Raw genomic sequence first — 27,183 nt, 5'->3', positions numbered from 1 at the left:
ATATATTTATGCGTTACATGTGATTCACTGATACAGGCATGCAATGCATAATAATCACATCAGGGTAAATAGAGTATCCATCACCTCAAACATTTATTCTTTGTGTTACAAATAATCCAATTATACCCTTTCAGTTATTTAAAAATGTATAATCAAATTATTTTTCACTGTAGTCACCCTGTTATGTTAACAAATATGAGATCTTATTCATTCTTGCTAACTTTTTTTTGTACCCATTAACCATCCACACTTCCCCTCCTCCACACCCCCACTACCCTTCCCAGCTTCTGTTAACAATCTTCCTACTTTCTATTTCTGTGAGTTCAATTATTTTCATTTTTAGCTCCCACAAGTGAGTGGTAACGTGAAATTTGTCTTTCTGTGCCTGGCTTCTTTCACTTAACATAATAACTTCCAGCTCCATTCAGGTTGTTGCAAATGACAGGATCTCATTCTTCTTTATGGCTGAATAGACCTCCATTGTGTATATGTATCATAATATATATATCTATATATCTATATCTATATCTATATAGATAGATAGATAGATAGATAGATAGATAGATAGATAGATAGATATTTGAGATGGAGTTTCACTCTTCTTGCCCAGGCTGGAGTGCAATGGGGCCATCTCAGCTGACTGCAACCTCCATCTCCCAGGTTCAAGCAATTCTCCTCCCTCAGCTTCTGGAGTAGCTGGGATTACAGGCATGTACCACAATGTCCAGCTTATTTTGTATTTTTAGTAGAGATGGGGTTTCTCCATGTTGGTCAGGCTGGTCTTGAACCCCTAACCTCAGGTGATCTGCCCACCTTGGCCTCCCAAAGTGCTGGGATTACAGGCATGAGCCACCACACCAAGCCACATTTTTTTTAATCCATTTGTCTGTTGATGGACACTTAGGTTGCTTCCAAATCTTGGCTATTGTGAGTAGCGCTGCAATAAATATAGGAGTGCAGATATACTTCAATATACTGATTTTCTTTCATTTGTATATATTCCTAGAGGTGAAATTGCTGGTTTTTTAGTTTTTTGAGTTTTTCTTATGAAGGGATGTTAAGCTGTATCAAATGCGTTTTTGTCATCAATTGAAATGATCATATGGTTTTTGTTCTTTATTCTGTTCATATGTGTCACATTAATTTATTTGCATATGTTGAGACATCCTTGCTTCCCTGGGATAAATTCCACTTCGTCATGATGAATGATGTTTTCAGTGCGTTATTGAATTCAGTTTGCTAGCATTTTGCTGAAGATATTTGCATCAATATTTATCAGGATATTGATCTGCAGTTTTCTTTTTTTGATGTGTCGTTGTCTGGTCTTGTTATGAGGATAATACTGGCCTCATAATATGAATGTGAAAGTATTCCCTCCTTCTCCTCTATTTTTCAGAATAGTTTGAGCAGAGTTGGCATTAGTTCTTTAAATTTTTGATAGAAGCAGTAAAGCCACTGGGTTCCCCGGGCTTTTCTTTACTGGGAGACATTTTATTACAACTTCAATCTTGTTACTTGTTACTGGTCTGTTTAGGACCAATCCAAATCTGTTGGATTTCTTCAAGGTTCAAGTTTGGTAGGTTGTATGACTGTAGAAATTTATCTATGTCTTCTAGATTTTCCAATTTATTGCCATATAGTTGCTCAGGGTAGCGACTAATGATCCTTTAAAATGATCCAGTGGTATCAGTTGTAATGTCTCTTTTTTCATCTCTAATTTTATTTATTTGAGTCTTCATTCTCTTTTTTTCTTATTCTGACTAAATATTTGCCCATTCTTGGACAAAATAAAACAACTGACTTTTTGTTTTATTGATCATTTGTATTGTTGTCTTCAAATTCATTTATTTCTGCTCTGATCTTTATTATTTCATTTATTCCACTAACTTTGGGTTTGGTTCGCTCTTTCTTTTCTGGTTCGTTAAGATACATCATTAGGTTGTTTATTTGAAGTTTTTTTTCTTCCTTGATATAGGCACTTTTAGCTATAAACTTCCTGCTTAGTACTGCTTTTGCTGTATTCCATAGATTTTGGTATGTTTTGTTTCTATTACCATTTGTTTCAAGAAATTTTTCAATTTCCTTCTTAATTTCTTCATTGACCCACTGTCATTTAGGAGCATATTGCTTAATTTTCATGTGTTTGTATAGTTTCCAAAATTCTCCTTGTTACTATTTTTTTGTTTTATTCCATTATGGTCAGAGAAGATGCTTGATATTATTTTAATTTTTTTAATGTTTTAAGATTTATTTTGTGATCTAACATATGTCCTGTCCTTGAGAATGATCCATGTGCTGAGCAAAATAATGTGTATTCTTTAGCCATTGGATGAAATGTTCTATATCTATTAGGTGCATTTGGTCTATAGTGTAGAGTAAGTCTGATGTTTCTTTGTTGGTTTTCTGTTTAGAAGATCTGTCCAAGACTGAAAGTGGGATGTTGAAGTCTCCAGCTATTATTGTATTGGGGTCTATCTCACTCTTTAGCTCGAAAATTTTTTGCTTTATATATCTGGGTACTTCAGTGTTGGGTGTAAATATATTTACAATCATTATATTCTCTTGCTAAATTTACTCCTTTATCATTATATGATGACCTTTGTCTCTTATAATTTTAGTCTTGAAATCTAGTTTATCTGAAATAAGTATAGCTACTTTTGCTCTTTTTTGGTTTCCATTGACATGGAATATCTTTTTCCATCCCTTTATTTTCAGTCTATGTGTACTTTTATAGGTGAAGCGTGTTTATTATAGGCAGCAGACCACTGGGTCTTGTTTTGTTTTTTGTTTTTTTCATCCATTCAGCCACTCTATGTCTTTTTTTGGAGACTTTAGTTCACTTATATTCAATGTTATTCTTGATAAGTAGGGACTTCTGCCATTTTGTTATTTGTTGTCCTGTTGTTTTCCAGTCTTCTCTTCTTTCGTTCTTCCTCTCTTCCTCTTAATGAAGGTGATGTTCTCTGGTGGTATGTTTTAATTTCTTGCTTTTTATTTTTTATGTGTTTATTGTATTTTTTTTTGATTTGCAGTTTTCATTAGGCTTGCAAATACTATCTTGTAACTCATTATTTTAAGCTGATAACAACACTGTTTGCATAAGCAAACAAATAAGCAAAGAGAGCCTATAAAAACTCTACACTTTAACTTTGTCCTCCTGTTTTTTAACTTTTTGTTTTTTCAATTTGTGTATTACGGTACTGTCTATGTCTTGAGAAGTTGTAGTTATTATTTTTGATTGGTTCATCATTTAGCCTTTCTAATTAAGATCTGAATAGTTTATATTCCACAGACACAGTGTTATAATAGTCTGTGTTTTTCTGTGTACTTACTATTACCAGTGAGTTTTGTAACTTCAGATTATTTATTGCTTATTAACATCTTTTTCTCTAAGGTTAAAGAACTCTCTTCAGCATTTCTTGTAGAACAGGTCTGGTGTTGATGAAATTTTTCAGCTTTTGTTTGTCTGAGAAAGTCTTTATTTCTCCTGCATATTTGAAAGATATTTTCACCAGATATACTATTCTAGGGTAAAAGTTTCTTTCCTTCAGCACTTTAAATATGTCATGCCACTCTCTCCTGGCTTGTAAGATTTCCACTGAAAAGTCTGCTGCCAGACATATTGGAGCCCTATTGTATGTTATTTGTTTCTTTTCTCTTGCTGCTTTTAGGGTCCTTTCTTTATCCTTGACTTTTGGGAGTTTGATTATTAGATGCCTTGAGGCAGTCTTCTTTTGGTTACATCTGCTTGGTGTTCTGTAACATTCTTGTACTTGGATATTGATATCTTTCTCCAGGTTTTGCAAGTTCTGTATTAGCCTTTTAAATAAATATTCTACCTCTATCTCTTTCACTACTTCCTCTTTAAGGCCAATAACTCTTAAATTTGCCCTTTTGAGGCTATTTCCTAGATCCTGTAGGCATGCTTCATTGTTTTTTATTCTTTTTTCTTTTGCCTCCTCTGACTGTGTATTTTCAAATATCCTGTCTTTGAGCTCACTAATTCTTTCTTCTGCTTGATCAATTCTGCTGTTGAAAGACTCCGATGCATTCTTTCATGTGTCAATTGCATTTTTCAACTCCAGAATTTCTATTTCATTCTTTTTAATTATTTCAATCTCTTCATTAAATTTATCTGATAGAATTCTGAATTCTTTTTCTGTGTTATCTTGAATTTCTTTGAGTTTCCTCAAAACAGCTATTTTGAATTCTCTGTCAAAAGGGTCATATATCTCTGTTGCTTTAAAATTGTTCCCTGGTGCCTTATTTAGTTCACTTGGTGAGGTTATGTTTTCCACGGTGGTCTTGATGCTTGTGGATGTTTGTCTTTGTCTGGGCATTTAACAGTTGGCTATTTATTGTAGTCTTTGCAGCCTGGACTTGATAGTACCCATATTTCTTGGAAAGACTTTCCAGGTATTCTAAAAGACTTGGGTGTTATTATCTAAGCCATATCTGCATCAGGGGCACCCCAAGCCCAGTAACATTGTGGTTCTTGCAGACTCGAAGAGGTACTGCCTTGAAGGCCTTAGGTAAGATTGGGGAGAAATCTCTAGATTACCAGGCAGTGACTCTTGTTCTCTTCCATTACTTTCTCCCAAACAAATGGAGCCTTGCTCTGTTCTAAGCTGCCTGGACCTGGGGTTGAGGTGAAACAAGTACCCCTGTGGCCACCACCAATGGAACTGTGCTAAGTTAGACCTGAAGCCAGCACAGCACTGGGTCTTGCCCAAGGCCTGCTGTAACCACTCCCTGGCTGCTGCCAGGCCCTTGGGCTCCACCATCAGCAGGTGGAAAAGCCAGCCAGTCTTGTATCCTTCCCTTCAAGGTGGCAAGTTCCCCTAAGCCCTGGATGTGTCCAGAGGTGCTGTGTGGGAGCCAGGTACTAGAGTCAAAATCCTTACAAGTCTACCTGATGTTCTGTTTTACTATGACTAAGCTGGTACTCAAACTGTGAGATGTAGTCATTTCCACTCTTCCCTCCCCTTTCCACAGGCAGAGGGACCTCACCCCATGGTCACCACTATAGGCCCACAGGAAGTACTCCCAGGCCACTGCCAATGTTCCCTTAAGGCCCAAGCTCTCTTCAGTCAGCTTGCAGTTAATGCTACCTGGCCTAGGACTCACTCTTCCGAGCAGTAGCCTCCCCTCTGGCCCAGGGCAGGTCTACCGATGCTGTCCAAGAGCCCAAGAGTCTGCCTGGTGCTCTGTCCTGCTGTTGCTGAGCAGATACCTGAGGTGCAAGTCAAAATACCTTCTACTTTTCCCTCTACTTTTCTCAGGAAGGAGACTCTTCCCATAGCCACCACAGGCTGGGAATGTGCTGAGTTTTACCTGAAATCAGCAAGTCTCAGAGTCTCACCCAAGGCCCATGACATGCTACATGGGTATTGTTGCTGGTTATTTAGGGCCCAAGGGCTCTTTGGTCAGCAGATGATGGGTCCTGCCAGTACTGTGCCCTTCCCTTTAAGGCAGTGGGTTCCCTTCTGGCCCAGGGTGTGTCTAGAAATGTTATCTGGGAGCTAGGGCCTGGGAAAGGGGCCTCACAACTCTGACTGGTGCCCTATCCTACTGTGGCTGTGCTGATATCCAAGATACAAGACAAAGTCCTCCTTACTCTTCTCTCTCCTCTCCTCAAGCAGAAGGAAGGGATCTCTTTTGGATCCATGAGCTGTGCAGCCTACGGTTGAAGGAGGGGTCACACAGGCACCGCATTAGCCACGCTGACTGGTGTTTCAGTAGGTCTCATGCCCCCAGTCCACTGGCTCTGAGCCCAGTTCAGCACTGAGCTGCAGAATCACCTAGGAATTTGAGTCCTTGTACCCTAGACTGCCTTTCAAGTTTATTTAGGGCCCCAGAGGAATTTAGCCTACAGTGGGGAGGCTTGGCAGAACTCAAGTTCTATTCGCTGGGATAGGCAATTCCTCTCTGGCTAAGGCTGGTTTTATACTTCCTCTGTGGAAAGGCATGAACTGAGTTCAGCTCAGTTTGGCTTTCTGCTGTGACACGGCACCGGTAAGTTCAGTACAATGTTTTACAATTGCTGCACTCTTCCTGTCCCAGAAGCACAGATTCTCTTTATCCATGCTACACTGCTGCTGCCAGGAGATGGAGGAGGAGTGGCATTGGCATTTCAGAACTGTCTCCTACCCTCCTCAGTACCTCTTTTAGCTATATGAAGTCAAAACCAGGTACTGTGAGTGCTCACCTGCTATTTGGTTCTTATTAAGTTGCTTTTTTTTTGTGTAGATAGTTGTTAAATTGTTATATTTGTGGGGTGTACAATCACTGGAGCCTTCTGTTCTACCGTCTTGCTCTACCTCTATCTCAAAATAAAAAGTCTTTTAGAATAGGAATTATGTATATTATTAATTATTTGTTGAATGAATGAGTCAATGTGTAAATTAATGAATACATGAATGAATGAATTTCACTAGGGGAACTTCCCAGTCCTCTCCAGCCTAGCACAGTTTATGAGTTCTGAGAGGGATTGCCCTTGAACACATGCTTCAGAAAAAAGAAAATGTGAAATTGAAACTATCCATAAAATCTGAACAAATAAGTAGGGCATGATATTTTCCCAAAGGACATTTGGGTATAAAATTCAGAAATTTAGATGTAGATCATAACTTTCATGTTGCTTCCAGCACATGTAGATCCTGGGTTTTCCCACTGCAGAGCAAGCTGTACACAGTGGCCTATTTCACAAGGTTTTTCAGTCAGGGACGTGGCTTTTCTGACAGTTAATGGGACTGGTCCACACAGCTTTATCTCCAAACTGACAACTTCCTTTGCTTATCCCTAACAATTCAAAAAACTGCCTTTTCGGGTGATCTATTCATAATTTAGTGAAGGTTATTTTTAAAAAAGAAGAGGGAGGAGGAGGAGGATTCCTTTTTAAAGAATACTGAGATTAAGTTACTATATTTTTAAATCATCCAAACAATTAAAACTTCTGGAACTTTTTGTATTGAAACATTTTTATAACATAGCTTTAAGTGTAGGGCTTTAATAGTGTGAAACTACCTCATGAAATTTAAAATCAGTGTGTGCGTCATAACTCTAAATGAAATGAGTATGTTAAGCATTTTCCCAAATCCCCTTTTATGCAATGCCTTCTATTAGAGTAAAATTTATGACTGCCATCCTGTGAGTCCCTACTCTTTGAGAGCAGGTCATGGATTTCTGTCTTTATATGCACTATAGCACCAGCACTCTGTTTTTCAAAGGATATTACTAATTGGATATTTGTTGAAATCAATGTTATTAATGATTTTAGTTTTTATGAGACAGTTTCTGCTTCTGTCCACCCCTGTAACCCAGGCTGTCACTAACCTCAGAGTGTCCACAGGAGGACATCTGACTCAGGTTTGCCATCTTCAGGGCATTGTATGCACTAGACTTCACCAGAATCTCTCGTCCATCAAATTGCGTCTATCCTGTCCTGAGTCATCGTGCCTTCTATGAAGTGATGACAGAAAGAATATACCACTCTGTGAGGATACGGTGACTGGTAATGGGTGGCTTCATTTTTTAGCCTCCCAGTTAATGTAGTTATAACTAATTGGTTTTTTATTAATAATGTGCCAACAATAACAATAGCTACCATTTATAAGAGTGCCTGGCACATTGTAGGTGCATAGTAATTGTTGGCTTATTATAATTAGCATTGATAATGGCCTTTGCTATGTTTGTAATAATAACAATTACCATACGAGCTTGAACTGAACTGGGCTTTTTATTTTTATTTTTTGTATTATCTCAAGGAAGTGACTGAAATTATGGTTATTTTAAGTCAAGGAGTTGATTTGGAGTAAATAAGTAATCTTTCTTTTTTGAAAAAGCAAACTGTATGTGGGGTGTGTGTGTGTGTGTGTGTGTGTGTACTCACACACATGCATGTTTCTCCTGATTTCAAAAGCATTATAGAGTTGGTGGTTAAGTATGTAGGCTTTGGTGTCCAGCTGCCTGGATTCAAACTCTGGTTTGTCACAAGCTAATTCTGTGATCTTAGGTAAGTTAGTTAACCTCTCTGAGTCTTACTTTTCTCATTTGTAAAAGGAATAATTATAGAACATAGCTCATAGAATTGTGAGGATTAAGTAACACAATGAATAACTATTGTGTCCATAATAGCACTCACTAATGTACATTGTTCTTTGTTTTTATTATGGCTATTATTTAAAAAGAACTGGAAAAATGCAGAAAAGCAAAAAGGAGGAGTCATCGAATTCTATTATATAACCACTATTAACAATAACATGAGGCTGTATGCATCTAACTTTTTCTGTTTATATGTATGCCTAAGTATACTCAATTTTATAAAATTAGATATAATCATTAACTTGTCTTAATAATTTACTTTTCCATGCCCAGTATACTTTATTTTATATATCACTTTATAATTTGTGTTATCAATTTATTTTTCTAATATATATTATTATATACAGTTTTAATAGTTGCATGTTAGTCTGTCATCATATGTATTATGTTATTCATTCATTTGACATGTAGAAGATTGCTTTGAATTTTTCATTCTTGTAAATAACAGGAATCTTGATCTAAATTCACATCTTTTGGTACATATTTTATTAATTTCTTGGTATAAATTTATAGGAAACTATTTAATAAGCTATAGAATATTTTCTAAAATTAATGCTTTTAGAATAAATTGCCAAATTGTTTTCCATAAAAACTTTAATTTCGTTTCCAGCAATAGTATATGAGGCTTCTAGTTTCCATGTAACCCTGCCATACCTTGGTAGTATATATACATATATTTTTTATAATATCCAATTTAATGGCTTCTGTACAATATGGAACAAGTCATTTTAACTCTGAGCCTCAGATTCCTAACTTGCAAAATTAACTAATGGATATAGAATTCAGAACTATAGTGACAGATCACAAAGTTTATATTGATTCCAGAACCAATTGATATTCAATATTTGAACTGTAGTTCAAGTGACAAAGGGCCAAGGTGAAGTTGGGCTAATGCCAGAAGAGGCTGAAGGGATGAATACTGAGGAGCATTTCTCTGCTAATGCCATGACTGTCCAGAATGTCCCAGTGTTGATCAGAAAGTAATGTAGATAACAGTTATAATTTGAATTTCTGATTGTGTCTTATTGCTGTCTATCCTGCTAAACTGTGTGCCCCATGAGGGCAGGGATCTTTGTTTGTTCACTGATATAATTTGTGCCTTTAGCATGGAGCCTGACACATAGTAGGGGATCAATAAGAAGCACCTTGTACAAAAGTTAACTCAAGATGGATTAAAGACTTAAACATAAGACCTAAAACCATAAAAACCCTAGAAGAAAACCTAGGCAGTACCATTCAGGACATAGGCATGGGCAAAGACTTCATGACTAAAACACCAAAAGTAATGGCAACAAAAGCCAAAATTGACAAATGGGATCTAATTAAATTAAAGAGCTTCTGAACAGCAAAAGAAACCATCATCAGGTGAACAGGCAACCTACAGAATGGGAGAAAATTTTTGCGATCTATCCATCTGACAAAGGGCTAATATCCAGAATCTACAAAGAACTTAAACAAATTTACAAGAAATAACCCCATCAAATAGTGTGTGAAGGATATGAACAGACACTTCTCAAAAGAAGACATTTATGCAGCCAACAAATACATGAAAAAAAGCTCATCATCACTGGTCATTAGAGAAATGAAAATCAAAACCACAACGAGAAACCATCTCACGCCAGTTAGAATGGCAATCATTAAAAAGTCAGGAAACAACAGCTGCTTTTACACTGTTAATGGGAGTGTAAATTAGTTCAACCACTGTGGAAGACAGGGTGGCGATTCCTCAAGGATCTAGAACCAGAAATACCATTTGACCCAGCAATCCCATTACTGGGATTTACAAAGGATTGTAAATCATTCTGCTATAAAGACACATGCATACATATGTTTATTACAGCATTATTCACGATAGCAAAGACTTGGAACCAACCCAAATGCCCACCAATGATAGACTGGATAAAGAAAATGTGGCACATATACACCATGGAATACTATGCAGCCATGAAAAGGATGAATTCATGTCCCTTGCAGGGACATGGATGAAGCTGGAAACCATCATTCTCAGCAAACTAACACAGGAACAGAAAACCAAACACCGCATGTCCTCACTCATAAGTGGGAGCTGAACAATGAGAACACATGGACACAGGGAGGGGAACATTACACACTGGGGCCTGTTGTGGTGTGGGGGACTAGGGAAGGGACAGCATTAGGAGAAATACCTAATGTAGATGACAGGTTGATGGGTGCAGCAAACCACCATGGCATGTATATACTTATGTAACAAACCTGCACATTCTGCACATGTATCCCAGAACTTAAAGTATAATAATAATAATAGTAATAAAAGAAGTATCTTTTGAATGAATAAATAAGCTGAATGAAGCTACCCTATACTTGTCAAGAGACTGTGCACCTGGTAACCGGCAGTGTGCTGTCCTCTGGATAAGTGTGGATGAGCTGCCAAGAATGAGGCCTCTTAGACTTGCCTTTTCCCAGCTCCCATGCTGTGTCCCACTGACAGTCTTTCTCAGATATTTAATACCTTCAGCCTGGTTAAGATTCAGCCTCCCCTTCTAGAATCCATGCTTTGCAAAGCAATGTTGGGCCCCTGTGCTCTAAACCATTATGGATTGGCTTAAGAGTTCAATTCAGAGGGTAGAATTATTTCTAAGTTCTTAGGGATACTTCATTGCTGTCTTTTGGACTACCTAGAGCAACTAACTCATGGGATGGTTGAGGGTGTACTACATGAGATAACATATCATGTAAAATATAGAACTGTTGATCTAAGCAATACAGTGTGATGGTTAAAAGCCAAGGCTTTAGAGCCAGACCTTCTCAATTCACATCTGGGCTTCACAACTTAATAGCTGTGTCACCTTAAGCAAATTACTTCATCACACTATATTCAGTTTTCTTGCTAAAAATACGAAAAATATTACCATTGATGTGGGTATTTAATGAGTTAAATAAAGCATGTGTAGAAGTAGAAATGGTAAGTAAATGTTACCTACTATTTTGATCATTATTTTTAGCCTCAGTGACCTCATTGAGAATTTGCTATGTGCCAGACACCAAATATGTATTACCTCAGTTAATCCTTAAAACAATTCTGTGGGCTATTACTGTTATCCCTACCTCATGGATATTCAGGTTCAGAAAGTTTTAGTAATAACTTAAAATCATATAGATAGTAGATAGTAGAGCCTGGATTTAAATGCCGGTAGGTCTGAAATATTCTCTCATAGTGATACTTTTTTTTAACGTAATTTAAAATATCTGCATTCTTATTGACATTTTTAAATATCTGACTTTTAGCCTTTTTAGCTATGCCCAAAACCTGAGAACTAACTTTAAGTTCACGTGAGTGTTTAAACATCCATCTATTGGTTTGATGGTCTATAGTTTCTAAAGACTCTTACAGTTCTTAAATTACACTGTGATTCAGTTCACCCACCTCTCTATTTCCTCTACTAGGATCTTAGCAAAATCAATCAGTCAGTTAAATAATTAAATACCAATTAAAAGCTATAGGTTGGCAAATGATGACCAAAACAGACAATTTGCATGCCATGGTGTGGGCACAGTAAGGTTATGTAATCTTTCCTTGAAAGATCGCAATGCAACTATTTCAGTATTCATTTTAAACAGTGACCTGGAGTTATACATGCTCTAACCTAACAGGGATTCTCTACCCAGTGTGGAAGTGTCCTGACACCACTAGCAGCAGAGACTCATCTATTATAAAGTGACTGGTTGACTGAGTGCCTTGTGATTGGCCAATATCCTCCTCATCACAGTGATGGACTTGAAATTTGAACCCTTTTCAGACACCGCCAGTGACAAAACAAGGAAAACTGAAAAGCAATCAATTTACAAATGTCAGCACAGCTGCTGTGGTTTTGGATATGATTTGCTGTGCCACATTTGACAGATTATTTTTTATATCTTTGAGATTTATCTTGTTTTCATTGGAATATACTATAAACTGTTGCATTACCTTTTACCAAGTGAATAAATTGTGATATTTGGTAAAATTGTCTTTCATAGCCAAGAGATTCCAGTGTACAGAGACCTAGCACGGCTGTCATTTGGCAGGATGGTGGCAATTTGTGCATGATACGTATTCAGGAAAAACATTAGCATGTGGCTTATGATAGCATGGGTTTACACAGGGTTCATCTTGATGTTTGAAGGTCATGTTTTTCTCTTCAACAGGTTAATTATGTATGGTTTTGTGAAGGCTATGATACATGCTGGCCAGCTGAAAAATGGAGACTTTCATTTCACTGACTGTTTATTTTTTGGTTCACTGATGTCTGCTACAGATCCAGGTAATTGCTCAAATAATATATTTTCTTCTTTTAAGAATCAAACATTTAAATTGAATGTTTCTCCCCAAGACCATCACCTGCGTCTACATAATAATAATTTCTATTTTTCTTCACCTGCAGTTGACATATCTGTTAGTAATTACAAAAGAAAAGAAAAGGGGAATATTTTGATAGTGCTAAAGAAATTGGTTAGAAAGTAATTTCAGTAGTGGGAGAGATCTTTAAAGTCATTACAATTTATTTCTCTAGAATAAGCTTGTCCAACCAGTGGTCCATGGGCTGCATGCAGCCCAAGATGGCTTTGAATGCTGGCCAACACAAATTCATAAACTTTCTTAAAACGTAATGAGATTTATGCACAGACCTTTCTATTTGCTCATCAGGTATCGTTAGTGTTAGTGTATTTTATGTGTGGCCCAAGAAAATTATTCTTCTTCCAATGTGGTGCAGGGAACCCAAAAGATTGGACACCCCTGCTCTAGAACATGTAGCCATTTTGAGTTATCATCCTGAATTTCTCTCCAGTGAATATATCTTCTCTTCTTTTGAGAATGATGTATTAAATTAAGTTGTTTAAAGATATTTTTAAAAAATGTTTACTGTGGTACTTTTCAAGCATATCAGACATAGGGAGAATAGTAAAAAGAATTGGCATATGCCCTTCAGCAATTATCAAATATGGGCAATCACCTTATTTATACCCCCTCCACACCCACTCTCTCATCATGACTGGATTATGTTAAAGCAAATTCTAGCAATCATATTATTTTCTTTGTAAATGTTTTGAAAAATGAGTATTGCCATTGTAAGACCTGAAACAATCATTCTTTAATATTGTCCAAAATCTACTCATTGTTTTAATATTCCTAATTGTCTTATTGTCATTATTTGTTTGTATAGCAGTTTGCACAAATCAAGATCCAAACAAGGGCAGCATATTACAATGGATTGATATGATTATTGGGCCTCTTTTTATCTAGAAGTTTCCCTTTTATTTTTTATTTTCTTGTCATTTATTTGTTTAAAAAAAAAGAGGTAATTTGTCTTGTGGTTGAATCGAATATAGCTCCTTAAAATATTCCTCAGTGCCCTGTATTTCTTATAAACTGATGGTTAGAGTCAGAGGTTTAATCAGATTCAGGTTCAACTTTTTTGGTATGATTACTTTAAAGGTGGTGCTGGGACCCTTCTATTTCATCACCTCCAGAGGCAAATAGTGATTGGTGACTGAGCTGTCAGCCTGATCCATCATATTATTGGATTGCTACTCTAGCAAAGACTACCAGAACACAACCTATAGTTGAACAAGATGCTTTTATTACTCGTTGCAATGAAAGTGAATACCATGGGGAATCATGTTATGTCTCAGTGGGTATTAGAAAGGACTTATTATAGGACTTCGGTTTATGTTTGGTTATTTTAGTGAGGGTTTAAGGCATCAGGGCTTTGGTCTGGATTTGATGCTGTCAGGAAGTGGGAATAACTCCAAGACTGGGCATCTTAGTTAAGTCTTATTTAGAAGGAGGAAGGACTCAATTGAACCTAAAGCTACAATTGGTAAAGAAGCAGTGGTCACTCGTAATAGCCAGGATAGGGGGATGTTTGTTTAGTTTTGTGGTTTGGACAATGTTCATCAACAATTACATAATAGTACTGTTTTTGTCTGGATCCATCATAGTCACAGAATAGCCTTGCCTGATGTCATTCTGTTAAGTTGTTTTTATTCAACAGAAGAATGCCAAGGCCTAGCTAAGAGTATCAGGCCAGCTCTCGAATGTGGGTCTACTTTTCTGTTTCTTAGGAACATATAAGAATCTTTCTCAGCTGGGAGCGGTGGCTCATGCCTATAAACCCAACCCTATGGGAGGCCAAGTTGGGAGGATCACTTAAGCCAGGGAGGTCAAGACCAGCCTGGAAAACATGGGGAAACCCTGTCTCTCAAAAAAAAATTTAAAAATTAAAAAAATAGCCTTGTGTAATGGTGCACTTCGGTAGTTCCAGCTATAGCTACTTGGGAGGCTGAGGTGGGAGGATCACTTCTCAGACCAGCAGGATTGGCACCACATAGTGACTTGTTATAAATGTAAAATCTCAGGCTCAACCACAGACCAAGTATCAGATGCTAGAATTTAACAGTATCCTCAAGAGATTCATATGCACATTAAAGTTTGTGAAGCTTTACATTTTAGAGTTGCCCATTTTATCCAATGGCTTTAGTACCCATTGATGGTTTTTGCTTAAGCCAGTATTTATTAGGGGTTACAAACTAGTGGTATGCTAATCTAATCCTACCTTTTGCATTTATTAGCTGGTGGTACTCTCCTTAATGAAGTAGTTTTCCAGTTCAATTATTTCAGTACCCAATGGTATAATTTAAGCAACAAAAGCAGGGCAAATAATCCATTTTTTCTCTTTATTTACTAATTTTCAAAATAATGTGTTGTGTAGCATCCTGCACATGTGACCAATGAGATGACCTCCTAAAAACATCATTATGAACACATGGATTTTTACATAGATGATACGTTTCATTCTACTGTTGTCATTATATTTTTTCATGATCAAAAGGTGCCATTTTTGACAAGTGGGAGCCTCTTCAACTTTCTCCTGTATGCTTTTATTGTAATGACAACAGTTTTTGATAGGTTTCTTGCTTTTGAGTAAGACTAGATATTTCAACCTTATCTTGTGTATTTCCTGCACCCCACCTAGGAATTACCTTTCTTTCCAAAAGGCCTTGGCTTTTTCTAAGAGAGAAATTTAGTTAGAGACCATAATCTGGGCACTAAGGGATTGCATTGCTGCTGGATTGTCAATTGTTTTTAGACCTTTTTTTAAAAGGAGAAATTATATCACAAATTCATAATATTTTCAGTTAAAATTTAGTATTATATGAACTTAACTGCCTTGAATTTTTATTTTCGTTTTTATTTTCTACTGCCTACTCTTTTTCTTCCCACACATTAATATAATTTCCTACTTGCTTAAAACATATATTCTCAAAAGTATAATATATATATTGTTACTAAAAATATGATAACTAAAAACTGCTTAAGATTTTATTGTGGTTATTTTTAGCCTTTGGATATATCCCACTAGTGATGTACAGTTAAAAATTATTCCCTTTTTAAAATCACTTGAAATAATTTCTCTGTGTGGTTGAGCCACAAGTCAATATATAATAATGTTCATTTGTTTTATTTTATTTTTAATTTTTAAAATTAGATTATATATAGGATTCTAAAAAGAAAATCACAGAACAAAATAAGAGAAATCTAGCTTCTCTCCCTGTCTCCTTTACCCTAAATTTTCAGTGATTTTGGTTGGTTTTCGGTTTACCCTTCTATTTTTAAATTTAAGCAAATACACAAACATGCACACATTCCACTATATGCTACTACGCACATGGTTCTTCACCTTACTTTTATTTAATTAACAGTATTTTGGAGATCTCCTTATAACAACATATAAGAATCTTTCTCAGCTGGGAACAGTGGCCCACACCTAAAATCCCAACCCTATGTGAGGCCAAGGTGAGAGGATCACTTGAGCCCAGAAGTTCAAGACCAGCCTGGACAACATAGGGAAACCCTGTCTCTCCAAAAATAAAAAATAAAAAAATAGCCTAGTGTGGTGGTGCACACCAGTAGTTCCAGCTATAGCTACTTGGGAGGCTGAGGTGGGAGGATCACTTGAGCCCAGAAGGCTGAGGCTGCAGTGAACTGTGATCATGTCACTGCACTCCAGCCTGAGTGACAGAGCAAGACCCTGTCTCAAAATAAATAATAATAATCATCTTTCTAATTATCTTTAGTAGTCGAAGAGTACCCCATAGTTTATTCAATCAGTCTTCTATTGATAGAAATTTGGGTTCTTTCTTCTGCAATTATGTATGGTGTTGAAATTAATAGCTTTTCACATTTTGACAGTGTTTCTTTGGGAGACATTTCTGGAAAGAGATAATGGTAAATGTATTTGTAATTTTCCTAGATGCCAAACTCCCCTCCATAAAATTTGTATCAGTTTGCATTCATACCAGCAATGTATGACAATACTTGTTCTTCACAGTCTTGTCAATGCAGTAGACAATAAAAACTTGGGGGGTTTATCCATATGAAAGGTGAGGATTTATATATCCCTATAGCATGGCTTAGTACTTCTTTTATTATGAGTAAGATTGTATGTTTGTATTTTTGTATTTTATTATGAGTAAGATTCATGTAATTTATAATAAAAATTATATATATATTTTTTCTATTTATAAGATACCCTTTTCCAGTAGAGTCATTAGACTTTTGCATTTCAATGTTTAGATGCCCTTAATATGTTAGGAATATGAATCTTTTGTCTGTCATATAAGTTACAAACAGTTTTCCTGGTTTGTCATGTTTTATTTTGCTTATGGTATGAGAGGTTGATTGAAAGAACATGAAATGAAACTGAGTCTTAGGTTTGGAACCCATGGTGTAGATTGAAGATCAGAGCCCCAGAGTGGTATACAGGGATAGACTGCTCTATCCCCAGGGTTAGGAATGGCCTGGTCACTATGTCATTGCTAGAAGATTTCACTCTCACACAGCCCAAGGGAAATGCGGAAGTCCCTTGGCAGCCACTGGAAGCATGGACTCAAGAGTATAAATTTTCAGCCTATCTAGCTAGTTAAGGTTGTTCTCTTCTGCCATACGTAGATATTCTGGCTTTCAGGGTCAGGCCTCACTTTGCATCACCTTTGCACACATCTTCAAGTTCAGAAGCACTGCAACCAGCATTCCCTGGTCCCAACACTGAAGGCTGAGTTTGTTGCCTTCTACTGAGTGACTCAGCTAGCTCTAAACACAACTGAGTTGTAGTCAAGTGCTGCTCCTTCCGTGGCAGGTGATGCCCCTGAAATTATGTTTAGATAACACAGGAAAACCAATTAAAATGGAAAAAAAAAATCCAGACTGGGCACAATGGCTCATGACTGTAATTCCAACACTCTGGGAGGCCGAGGCAGGAGGATTGCTTGAGGCCAAGAGTTCTAGATCAGCCTGAACAACATAGCAAAACCCCATCTCAAAAGAAAGAGAGAGAGAGAGAAGAAAGAAAGGAAAAGAGAGAGAAAGAAAAAGAAATAAAGAAGGGAGGGAGGGAAGAAGGAAGGAAGGAAGGAAGGAGGCAAAAAGGGAAAAGAGAGAGGAAGGGAGAGAGGGAGGAGGGAAGGAAGAGAGGGAGGGAGGGATCCAACTTGGTAAGATGGTTACTTATCTGCATCGTATCAAACACCTGAGTGGACTGAAGTTTTTAAAATACAATATTGGCTCATAACCATAAAGAGCATCCTGGGGCCCAAGTCTACTTTCCAAGTTTGGCATGGACCAGCTGTGCAACTTTGGGCAGCCACTTCGATTTTATACATTATTGGAAGTAGAAGATAGCATTTCTCATTGCTTCCAACTTCTTTTTTTTTTAACAGACAAAACTGACTCTTCATCTGTAAAATAAAAAGTTTTAACTAAAGGTCTAATATCCTTCTAGATCTAACATTCCATGATTTTTATTCCTGTGAGACTGGTTTTTATTTTAAAACAATCTTTTATTTTAGGGAAAATGAAAGTCAACCCGAAGCCTGCTAACTATATTCTGAGGTTCCAACCTCAAATCAACAAATGCTAAAGATATCTCATAAGGTAGAAACCCACACATGAATAGGAACCCTTAAATTCTCTTCTTTTACTGGGAACTAATTGTTATATTAAAACATGCCGAACCCACTCTCTGCTAAATTGGTGCAATTTAAGATCTTCAACAACCTTAAAACACCTAGTTAATCTTACCCCACAATTATTCATTTATTGCCTAAATTATTGTGACTCACTAATTTACGAGAGGAAACCTATGCTCTGCAGGTCTGACATTTCTTGGCCATTTAAAAATTAATTATTTCCCATTTAGCCTTAGCTAAATATTAGCTAGCTGTTATTATTTCCTTCATATTCATCTTTTATGGATACACATTTAGTCTTAAATCTAATTCTTCTGCACATTTCAGACTCTCAGCCAATTTTCGATTTAGCTCCATTTGGGATTATTTGACTATAATTTGATTCATTTTATCTCCTCCTTTCCTTACTGATGAAGATCTTGCTGATGATGGAAAGGTCATCATCAGCACTTAACAAGTGGACAGTGAAAGGCAGAACAACCAAAGAGACAGTATATGGAAAATGGCAGGACAGGGAAAGAAAGAAATACACAGAGGGCTCAATGAATGAGCCAGCTCTTCTTCTGGTGTGTGCAAAAAACAGAGACTAGGAGGATGGGGAATGGGAGAGGAAAGATAAACAAAACTTAAGAGAGCAAAAGCCCAAACAGCTGGAAATAGATGATTCGTTTAACAGCTCTCATTTTGCGATTAGCCAAAGCTTGTCAAGGAGCTGTCCAGCCTCATACTCTCCTCTTGTCTTTTTCATTGCTGTCTTGGGGTCTCGTTTGGTAAATTTGACTATCCAAGATAACAATTTTGATTAACAAGTTGGAAATCTCCTTTCATATCGGGTAGGTGGATAAAGAGGGGAGTCCTTAAGGTGTGTAAAGATATGTGGAGATACAAGCATACCCATGAGCCTTGAACATACCAGTTTTGTGGCTGCTTTGGTGTATTTTCGCTTGTTGCTCCCTCCCCACCTTCTTCAGGTCTATGCTCAACTGTCACCTCAGTGAGAGCCTTTCTTGCTCACCCTATTAAATACTGCACCCCCTTGCCCAGACACCCCTAATCACAGAGCTTTCTATCCCCTGTCCGTGCCTTACTTTCCTCCACATCACTAATTACTAATCACTATTGATCAATTTATTTAGTTCTTTATTTACCTATTTATTTACTTCTTTGTCTTCTGTGTGGGAGATTTTTTTCTATTTTTCTGGATTTTTTTCCTCTTTTCAGTCTTACAGTTCTGATATCTAGAACAGCGAGCTTTTAATAAATACCTGTTAAATCAGTGAATTAATACAACTTGAGGAAGAAACTGCTAGGGCAAAGTGTGGAGTGTGGAAGGGTATCTCTTTTCAATTATGAAATGTGAAGTAGTTGAGTATCCCAGGTCACCCTCGCGGATGAGGTGTCTCATGGCCCCTGGAAGGGCAGTCTCCCAAGGTGAGGGTAGACTTCCAGCACATAGCTGCATTTCTAGCACATAGCTGGACTTCTAGTACATAGCTGAGTGGCTTTATCAGTTTCTGTCCACCAAAGAAGATATATTTAACTAAAACAAAGATATGTGCCTTTCCTCTTGTCCAACCATGTAGCAAATATTTCTTTCTTCTGTTTATCTGGTGGTCAGTGGCTGAACATTTTCCAGAGCATTTCAAGCTATGGTTTGTGGACTTGCAAGAAGCAGTTATAATCGTGTGTTTTTTCTAAGTTGGAAGATGTTCAAAATAGTAGCTTCTTTTAGGAAAAGGAAGAACTCAGCACATTGCATCAAGTATTAAATAATCACCCAGAAGATGCCAGAAACTCATCCTGGTATTTATGGAACTGACATTTCCTCCAAGGTCTTCAGGAAGCCACTCATTCAAGTACATGTGTTCTGTGCATTTTCTCACTTCATCAATTTCCCTGTTTCCTATTTGGATTAGAGTATCTTCATTTTACATGATGCAGCTGCATTGAGACTCAAATACAGCTGCACTATTTTGAGCTCCAGAAGTATTAATCCAGTATTCAAAACTAGAAAATAATTATTAATTCAGAGACTTGTCCAATTTTCCTCCTAGAGAATTAATCCAGGGTGTCTTGATTTAGGTAACATTAGATAGGGCACATTCTAGAGTTGCTGTATCCGACATGATACTTACGAGATACATGTTGCTACTGAACCCTAGAAATGTGACTAGTCCAGATTGATATGGGCTGCAAGTATAAATACACCCTAGATTTCCAAGACATCATTTGAAAAAAGTGAAACATCTCATTAATAATTTTATACAGTATTAATTACATGTTGAAATAATATTCACTTAATATCAAGTTAAATAAAATATCCTATAAAATTAATTTTACTTGTTTTCTTTTTACCTTTTTAAGAAGACTACTAGAATATTTAAAATTACATATGTGGCTTGAGTTAAATTTTTATTGGACAGCACTGCTATAAAGATATATGGAAATGAAACTGTTGGAAACCAAAACCATGACCCTTAATAGAAATACTGTAATAATTTAAAATTGAGTATTAAATACAAATACAGTATTAATTACAGATACAATGCACCACATAGATTATACCATTTGGTAAAATATAGGCGATTTATTTTTATGAGATTGAATTAATATGTCTGAGATTTGCTTTCTAAAATCTCTCCTCCCAGTCTCATTTTTCTGCTTTGATGCATAATAACCTATAAACTACTTTATACCCAAGCTTCAGAAATAAAAGAGGGTAAATATCTATATGATTCAAATATCATATATGTGCCATTTAAACCACAAATACTGTAGCCTCTGACTTGGGGACAGTGGATTAAATAAACTCCTGCCCAAATGTCTCAATTGTATTCTTTTTGTAAGAATATAAATAAGTTCTTAAGCCTGACAATCTCAGCATTGTTTTTGAAACACCCATTACTGTTTTCTCTTATGTAACATGTCACAGGTTCAAGAAACTTGGTATTTATATTACGTTAGCATGGTTTCAAAGTGTGTTGACACATTTAATGTTCCTAAATTGGGTAGACTCAATATGAAAAGTAAATACTTATCTAAAATGAGTAAAGGGAGACAACCTGCATAGCCAGCTGGAAAATACAGTCCATGATTTTTTTCATCAAGTTCAGATTTTAAAAATCTATTTGATGTAAATTATTAGTTCAGTTCTCTCACCAAACAAGGCAAAATACACAAGTGCTTAATAGGATCTATTTCTTTATCTGTATCATCATCAACACTAGATAATATTTAATGACTAGATCATCACAGATGCTTCACAATATAAAAGGCCCATTGAGTTCTGCACAGTACATAATAAATACTTATCAAATAAATAGAGCAGTCATTGAATATTAAGAACACTGTTCGTGGTGTGGGACAGTCATGTTTAAATCTTCATTTTATCTGACTCACTTGGCCTCAGTTACTCCAAATATAAAATGGGACTATAAGGTTTATTTTAAAGGTTCTTGATAAGGATTAAATAAGATAATATGTCTTATTTTTATTGTTATGTTGTCATCATTATTTTTATGCTGCACTAAGATGGGGCTGCTATTTTTCCATCAGTATAATACAGTGAGACATGTATATTTTTGCTTGTTTTCATGATAATAATGAATTTCCATGATTCTTCCTACCTGGTTAGTTCTCCCGTGACCAACTATATTCATTTGTGAGTTGCCTGGTTAAAGTTGGGAGTGTAATATATGTAATGTGATAATTTTGCTTTGAATAAAACACAAATATACTTTGACATCTATTCTTATAGATGAGAGGTCATAATTTTTAAAAGCAAATCTCAGACATTATCATTTTACCCCTATGTACTTTGGTACCCATCTCTAAGATGAAGGACATGGTTCTTACATGTCGTGACGGCACTATCCAACCTGAAAATTGTTCCATAATCCATTGGTATTATCTAATAACCAATCCACACTGAAATTTTCCCGATTTTTGCCCTTTGCCTTTGATAACTCAAACAGGTTTCACAAGTGATATTTAGTTGTCTCTTCTCTGCGTTCTCCTTTAATCTACAGCAGTGCTCCTTCCTACCTTTTTTAAAAATGCTATTATTGAGAAAATTGGGTCAGTTCTACAAGATGTACCACATTCTGGATTTGTCACTTCCCATAGTATCATTTAATTGTTCCTATATCCTCATATTTCTGTAAGTGAAAGTTAGCTTCAGAGAGTCCTGATTACTTAGATTCGAATTCCTCAGTTTTTGCAAGAATGTTCAATAGGCGATGCTTGATCGATCACGTTGCATCATATTAGAAGTCACACAATCACTTTTAGTTTAAGCTGCTACTTATTTCATCTAAATGGAATGTACAGAACTTATCGCCACCCTTGGTCAAATAATGCACCCATAAATAAACTACCCTTTTAAACATATAATTTTAAACATAACCACAATTCCATCATCACACCTAAAACATTAATAGTAAATTTCATGGTAGGCAAAATAATGGCCCTCCAAAGATGCCCATACCTTAATCTTTAGAACCTGTGAATATATTACCTTAAATAGCAAAAAGGGATTTACAAGATTAATTAAATTAAGGACCTTGAAATGTGGAGATTACCCTGGATTATCTGAATGGGCCCAGTTTAATCACATGGGTCTCTGAAAGTTGCAGAACTTTTCCTGGCTGCAATCAGAGGAAGATGTGGCTATAAAAGAAAAGGGCAGAAAGATATAATGTTGCTGACTTTGAAGATGGAGGAAGGGGGCTAAGAGCCCAGAAATTTTGGTGGCCTCTGGAAGTTGGAAAGGGCAAAGAAACTGATTATCCTCTTGTGCCTACAGAAAGAAATGCAGCTCTGCTACCCTAATTTGATATAACTGAGACATGTGTTGAACTTCTAATATACAGAAATATAAGATAATAAATTTGCATTATTTTAAGCCACTAAGTTTGTTATAATTTATTACAACAAAAATGACAAACTAATATAATGTTAAATATTATAAAATATATAGTTTAGTTAAAATTTCTCAACTTATACAAATTTTTATAGCTGCTTTCATTGATCCAGACAATGTATGCACAATGCTTTTAGATATAAAATGAATGATTTAAAATAATAAAATTGTAGGATACTTTTGTGGAAAGAGCTACTTCCTTTAATTTACCACCCTTGTTTTATAAAAGAGCAAACTAAGGTTTAGAGGTGAGTGACTTGGCCCTAGGAGAGTCATTTCAAAACTTAACATTACAATCACTTTAAAAAAATTCATGAAGGTCAGCAGTGGATTCTGGGAAAGTAGTGACTTTAACTTGGCTTTCTTGCCCTTTATTACTGTAATTTATCTGATTTTCCTAAGGCAAAGAGGAGTTGGTTCCTATATGCAGCTGAGTCCTGGTGAAGCCTTGAGCTTTATGCAAACCCTACAGAAATAACAGATAGTGAGCTTTCTCTACAATGAGTAGCATGAGCCTCTAGATACCAGTTTCAAACAAGTCTTTAGATGGAGACTGGAAAGCTATGAATCCTGAAAAGTGGTTTGGGTTGTGGAAATCTGTGGACGTTGGTGGTAGGAAGGTGGTAGTAGTTGACATTAGCCTGCATGAGTGAATTTGATTCTTTGGTTACTGGGTAAGGGACCTATCTCCTCCAGGTACCTGAAGGGTAGCCCACCTGCTTCTCCATCACTGGCCTATCTTCTGCCACTCAGAGGACTGCTATCACAGAAGGTAGTCCAACAAACAGTCTTAAACTCCAAAAAGCTGACAAAGAAAGATAAAAGCACATCAAGACTTTTCAGCAGCCTGAGGGAGGAAGACTGGTCAGAATAAACAGAGCACACACCCAGGAAATAAATTCCTGAAATAGTCAGAATATAATTTGAACAACCTTATAAGAAATCTTATAAAAAGAACTCAGCAACGTTAGTTGCACATGGTCAGAAATTCTGTTCAACAATATATTCCCAATGCCTAGAATATAAGCTGTCTCAGAGGAGACTATCAGTAAATATTTGTCAGATAAATAAATCCATCAAAAGAATAATAATGCTAGTTAGGCAGAATATACCATGAAAGTGAGAGTGGTACAATATCATGGAACCCATTAACATAACCTGTTACATCGATACATTATAAGAGAATAAAATATATAATCATATCTGTGAGGAAAAGACATTTAATAATATGCGGCAGCGTTACTAATAAAAATTCTAAGTAAAAAAAAACTGTTTAAATATAATTCAAAGTATTTACCAAAATCTAATACCAAATATTATTCTAAATGAAAACTTGAAACTGGATAATTCAAGAAGGTTTTATTTATAGAGGACTTGTTGCAAAGTTTATTTGTAGAAGAACTACAAAGAATAGTGCAGGCATCTGGAGCTTGGGAGTAGCCAAACAGTTATCACTCTTAGGTTCAAAGCAACAAGAGGAGAGAGTGGTCATTAGAATTCAGTGGGAGAAAGCTTGTGGAATATGTCACCTGGTGGAGAGCGATAACCTGTTCAGGGACACTTTTAGTTCAAGGTAGCATTTCAGGGGGAAAATGTCAGGGAATAAATACCTAAGTCTTCCTTTCTGCCCCTCCTCTGATATCTTCTGGGGCTTCTCATTGGCCAAATCCAATGAGAAGCTAGAGGGCATGGGAACTTATTGATGTAGTTCACGTGGTCAGTGTCCCAAAGCAGAGAATGTGTAAAGGGAAAAATAGAAGATACTGGCATAGAAGTTCTAGCAAATTCGGTAAGAAAATGAAAGAAAATAAAACATCACATAAAAGTAGAAATTAGGAAATAAAGCTGCCATTTTTGTTGATGTTACTCTATTCTAAAAAACTATTAGAATTAAAAACGAAATTTTGTGAGGTGCCCGAGTATAAGATAAATATACAAAATCCAATAGCATTTAAAAAATTTAGCAGCAAGTTTCTAGAAATAAAATTCAATATCTATAAAACTTACAACTATTTGATACTAATTTTAATAAAGAATAAAGGTATAATATTTTAAGGGATATAAAATGTAAAACAAGATATGAACAAATGAAAAGTCATGCTCTAGAATGGGAAGATTTAATTATGGACATACTTTATCTTTTTCTTCCTCCTAGATTTTTTTCATGGAGTACTTTTTAAACAATGAAAAACTTTAGCAAACTATATAATCCCTGTTACTTTTCATAAACCTTCCAGCAGTTTCTAAATTTTTCATTCTATTTGAATACATCATTCAAAAATGTTTTTAATGTCAGTTTATGTGTGACATTCTTTCCAAAGCCTTGTATGCCTGAAAAATTTTAATTATACCCTCATATTCAATAGCAATTTGTTTAGACATAAAAGTATAGATTCAAAGTTATTTTCTTTTTTATTCTCTCAAATATTTATTTCTCTTCATTTTTATTTTAATCTAGTGGTACTCGTATTATCTATATGTTGCACCTCTATTTTTATCTCTCATGTCTCCTAACATTTTAAAATTGTACTTTTATCTCTTCAATCTGTCTTGCTTCCTGCTGGAGGAGTTCCTCAATCAGGTTTCCCATTATCTAAATTATTTCTTCAGTTGTATCCATTATCCTATTTATTCCATCTGTTATAATTTTTTTCTGCTATGTTTTTCATACCTGATATTTCCTTTTATTTAATTTTCTTCTGTCTCTTTAAGTGTATTTAGTATACTTATTGAAAATGTTTTATGTATCTATTCTAATACTTCCGTTTTTTGTTTGTTGATTTTCTCTAAGTTGTCATAACCCTCAGGTGTCTAGCTATTTTTCACTTTTGCTCATGTTCCTTTAGGAGTATCAACTATTGAATTGGCAATACGTATTGGAGAAGGGCCTCAAAACTACAGTTATCATTTTCATTTGCCGTCATCCCACTAACCCAGGGTAGTGATGTTAAGCCTCAGAACACATTAACTGTGGAGACATTTTTTGCTAGTTACAGCTGGGGGAATGCACTACTGGCATTGGACGGGTAGAGGGCAGGGATGCTGCTAAACTTTGAAAACGCACTAGACGGCCCCCAACTGCAGGTAATTGTCTGGTCTAAAATATCAATAGTGCCAAGGTTGAGAAACCCTGCCTAGCCAACTTCTCAGGTTGGGGTTTAGGCCCTAAGGGAGAAGCAACATTGATAATCCATCAGCCTAGGATTTGTAGGGAAAGAGAATGCCTAAGGCTGCTCAGTCTCTACCTGTTCTTATCAACTCCTTACCTCACAAAACCTTTTGCACTGATCCTGACATTTCCCCCATGAACACCTGCCCCAGTGTTTAGCCAGTTGTGCATGCTTTGTGTGGCAAGGAGCTAAGCAATGATTACTCCATGGAAATGCAAGTAAGCCAAATGGCAGAGCTTAAACAGTTTTTGTTTGTTTGTTTGTTTGTTTTCCTAATTTGCTTTTTTTTACTGCTGTGTGTAGCCGCCCATTGCCAGATTTGCTGCACTCTTCCCACCCCCCTCACCTCTTTCCCACCCCTCTCACCTCTTTCCCACACACATCAATCCAAAACAGTGCTCCTTCTCCCTGGGGATTTCTCATGGCTTTTGTTGTTATTAGTTTCAATTCCACTTTTCTCTATATACTTTCTTCATCATTGACTTTGTGGAGGAAAGCAGTAGCCGATGCTATTATAGTTCACCATCTTGGTGATGAGAAGAAAGCTTTCATGAAAATTCTACTTTCCTCCAATTCATACAAAAATTTAAGGTAATTTCAATGAAAACTTACCACTTTAAACATTGAAACTGGATAAAATTATCTTAAAGCTTATAAAGTGGAATAAAACCATGAGGTAACCTACCTAATCAGATGTAAGAATATACTACAATGCCATTATAATCAAATCAGTGTGGTATTGGCCTAGGAAGCACAAGACCAGTAAAAAATAATAGATGATCCAGACACAGATTTCATTGAAAAATGATAATCTGACAGAGGTGGTCTTTCAATTCAATGGGGAAATGATGGTTTATTTAACAAATGGTACTAGCACAATTCACTGGCTATCCATTTAGATTATAAAATTGAACACATATAACCATTTACAAAAATATATTTAGAAGAATTAAAATGTAAATAATGAAATTTTAAAAAACTACTGCAAGAAAATCTATAAATCTA

At 36.2% G+C, this 27,183-nt stretch overlaps 1 protein-coding gene across 5 annotated transcripts in view; it reads left to right on the top strand.

Moving 5' to 3' along the window:
• SLC9A9 (solute carrier family 9 member A9) overlaps positions 1-27,183 on the top strand; it is a 583,247-nt gene that overhangs the window by 142,894 nt on the left and 413,170 nt on the right. For 4 of the 5 annotated variants that reach the window (XM_017006203.2, NM_173653.4, XM_017006202.3 and 1 more), the window contains one exon: positions 12,268-12,383. In XM_017006203.2, coding sequence (XP_016861692.1) covers positions 12,268-12,383 — 116 coding nt within the window. Of the gene's footprint in view, positions 1-12,267; positions 12,384-27,183 lie in introns of those variants that run through there. The other variant, XM_011512703.4, reaches the window with a different exon arrangement.

This window comes from Homo sapiens, chromosome 3 (genome assembly GCF_000001405.40).
Source record: "Homo sapiens chromosome 3, GRCh38.p14 Primary Assembly".
Lineage (NCBI taxonomy): Eukaryota > Metazoa > Chordata > Mammalia > Primates > Hominidae > Homo > Homo sapiens.
The sequence above is the reverse complement of the archived record's forward strand: the minus strand, read 5'-3'. Positions and strand labels throughout refer to the sequence as shown.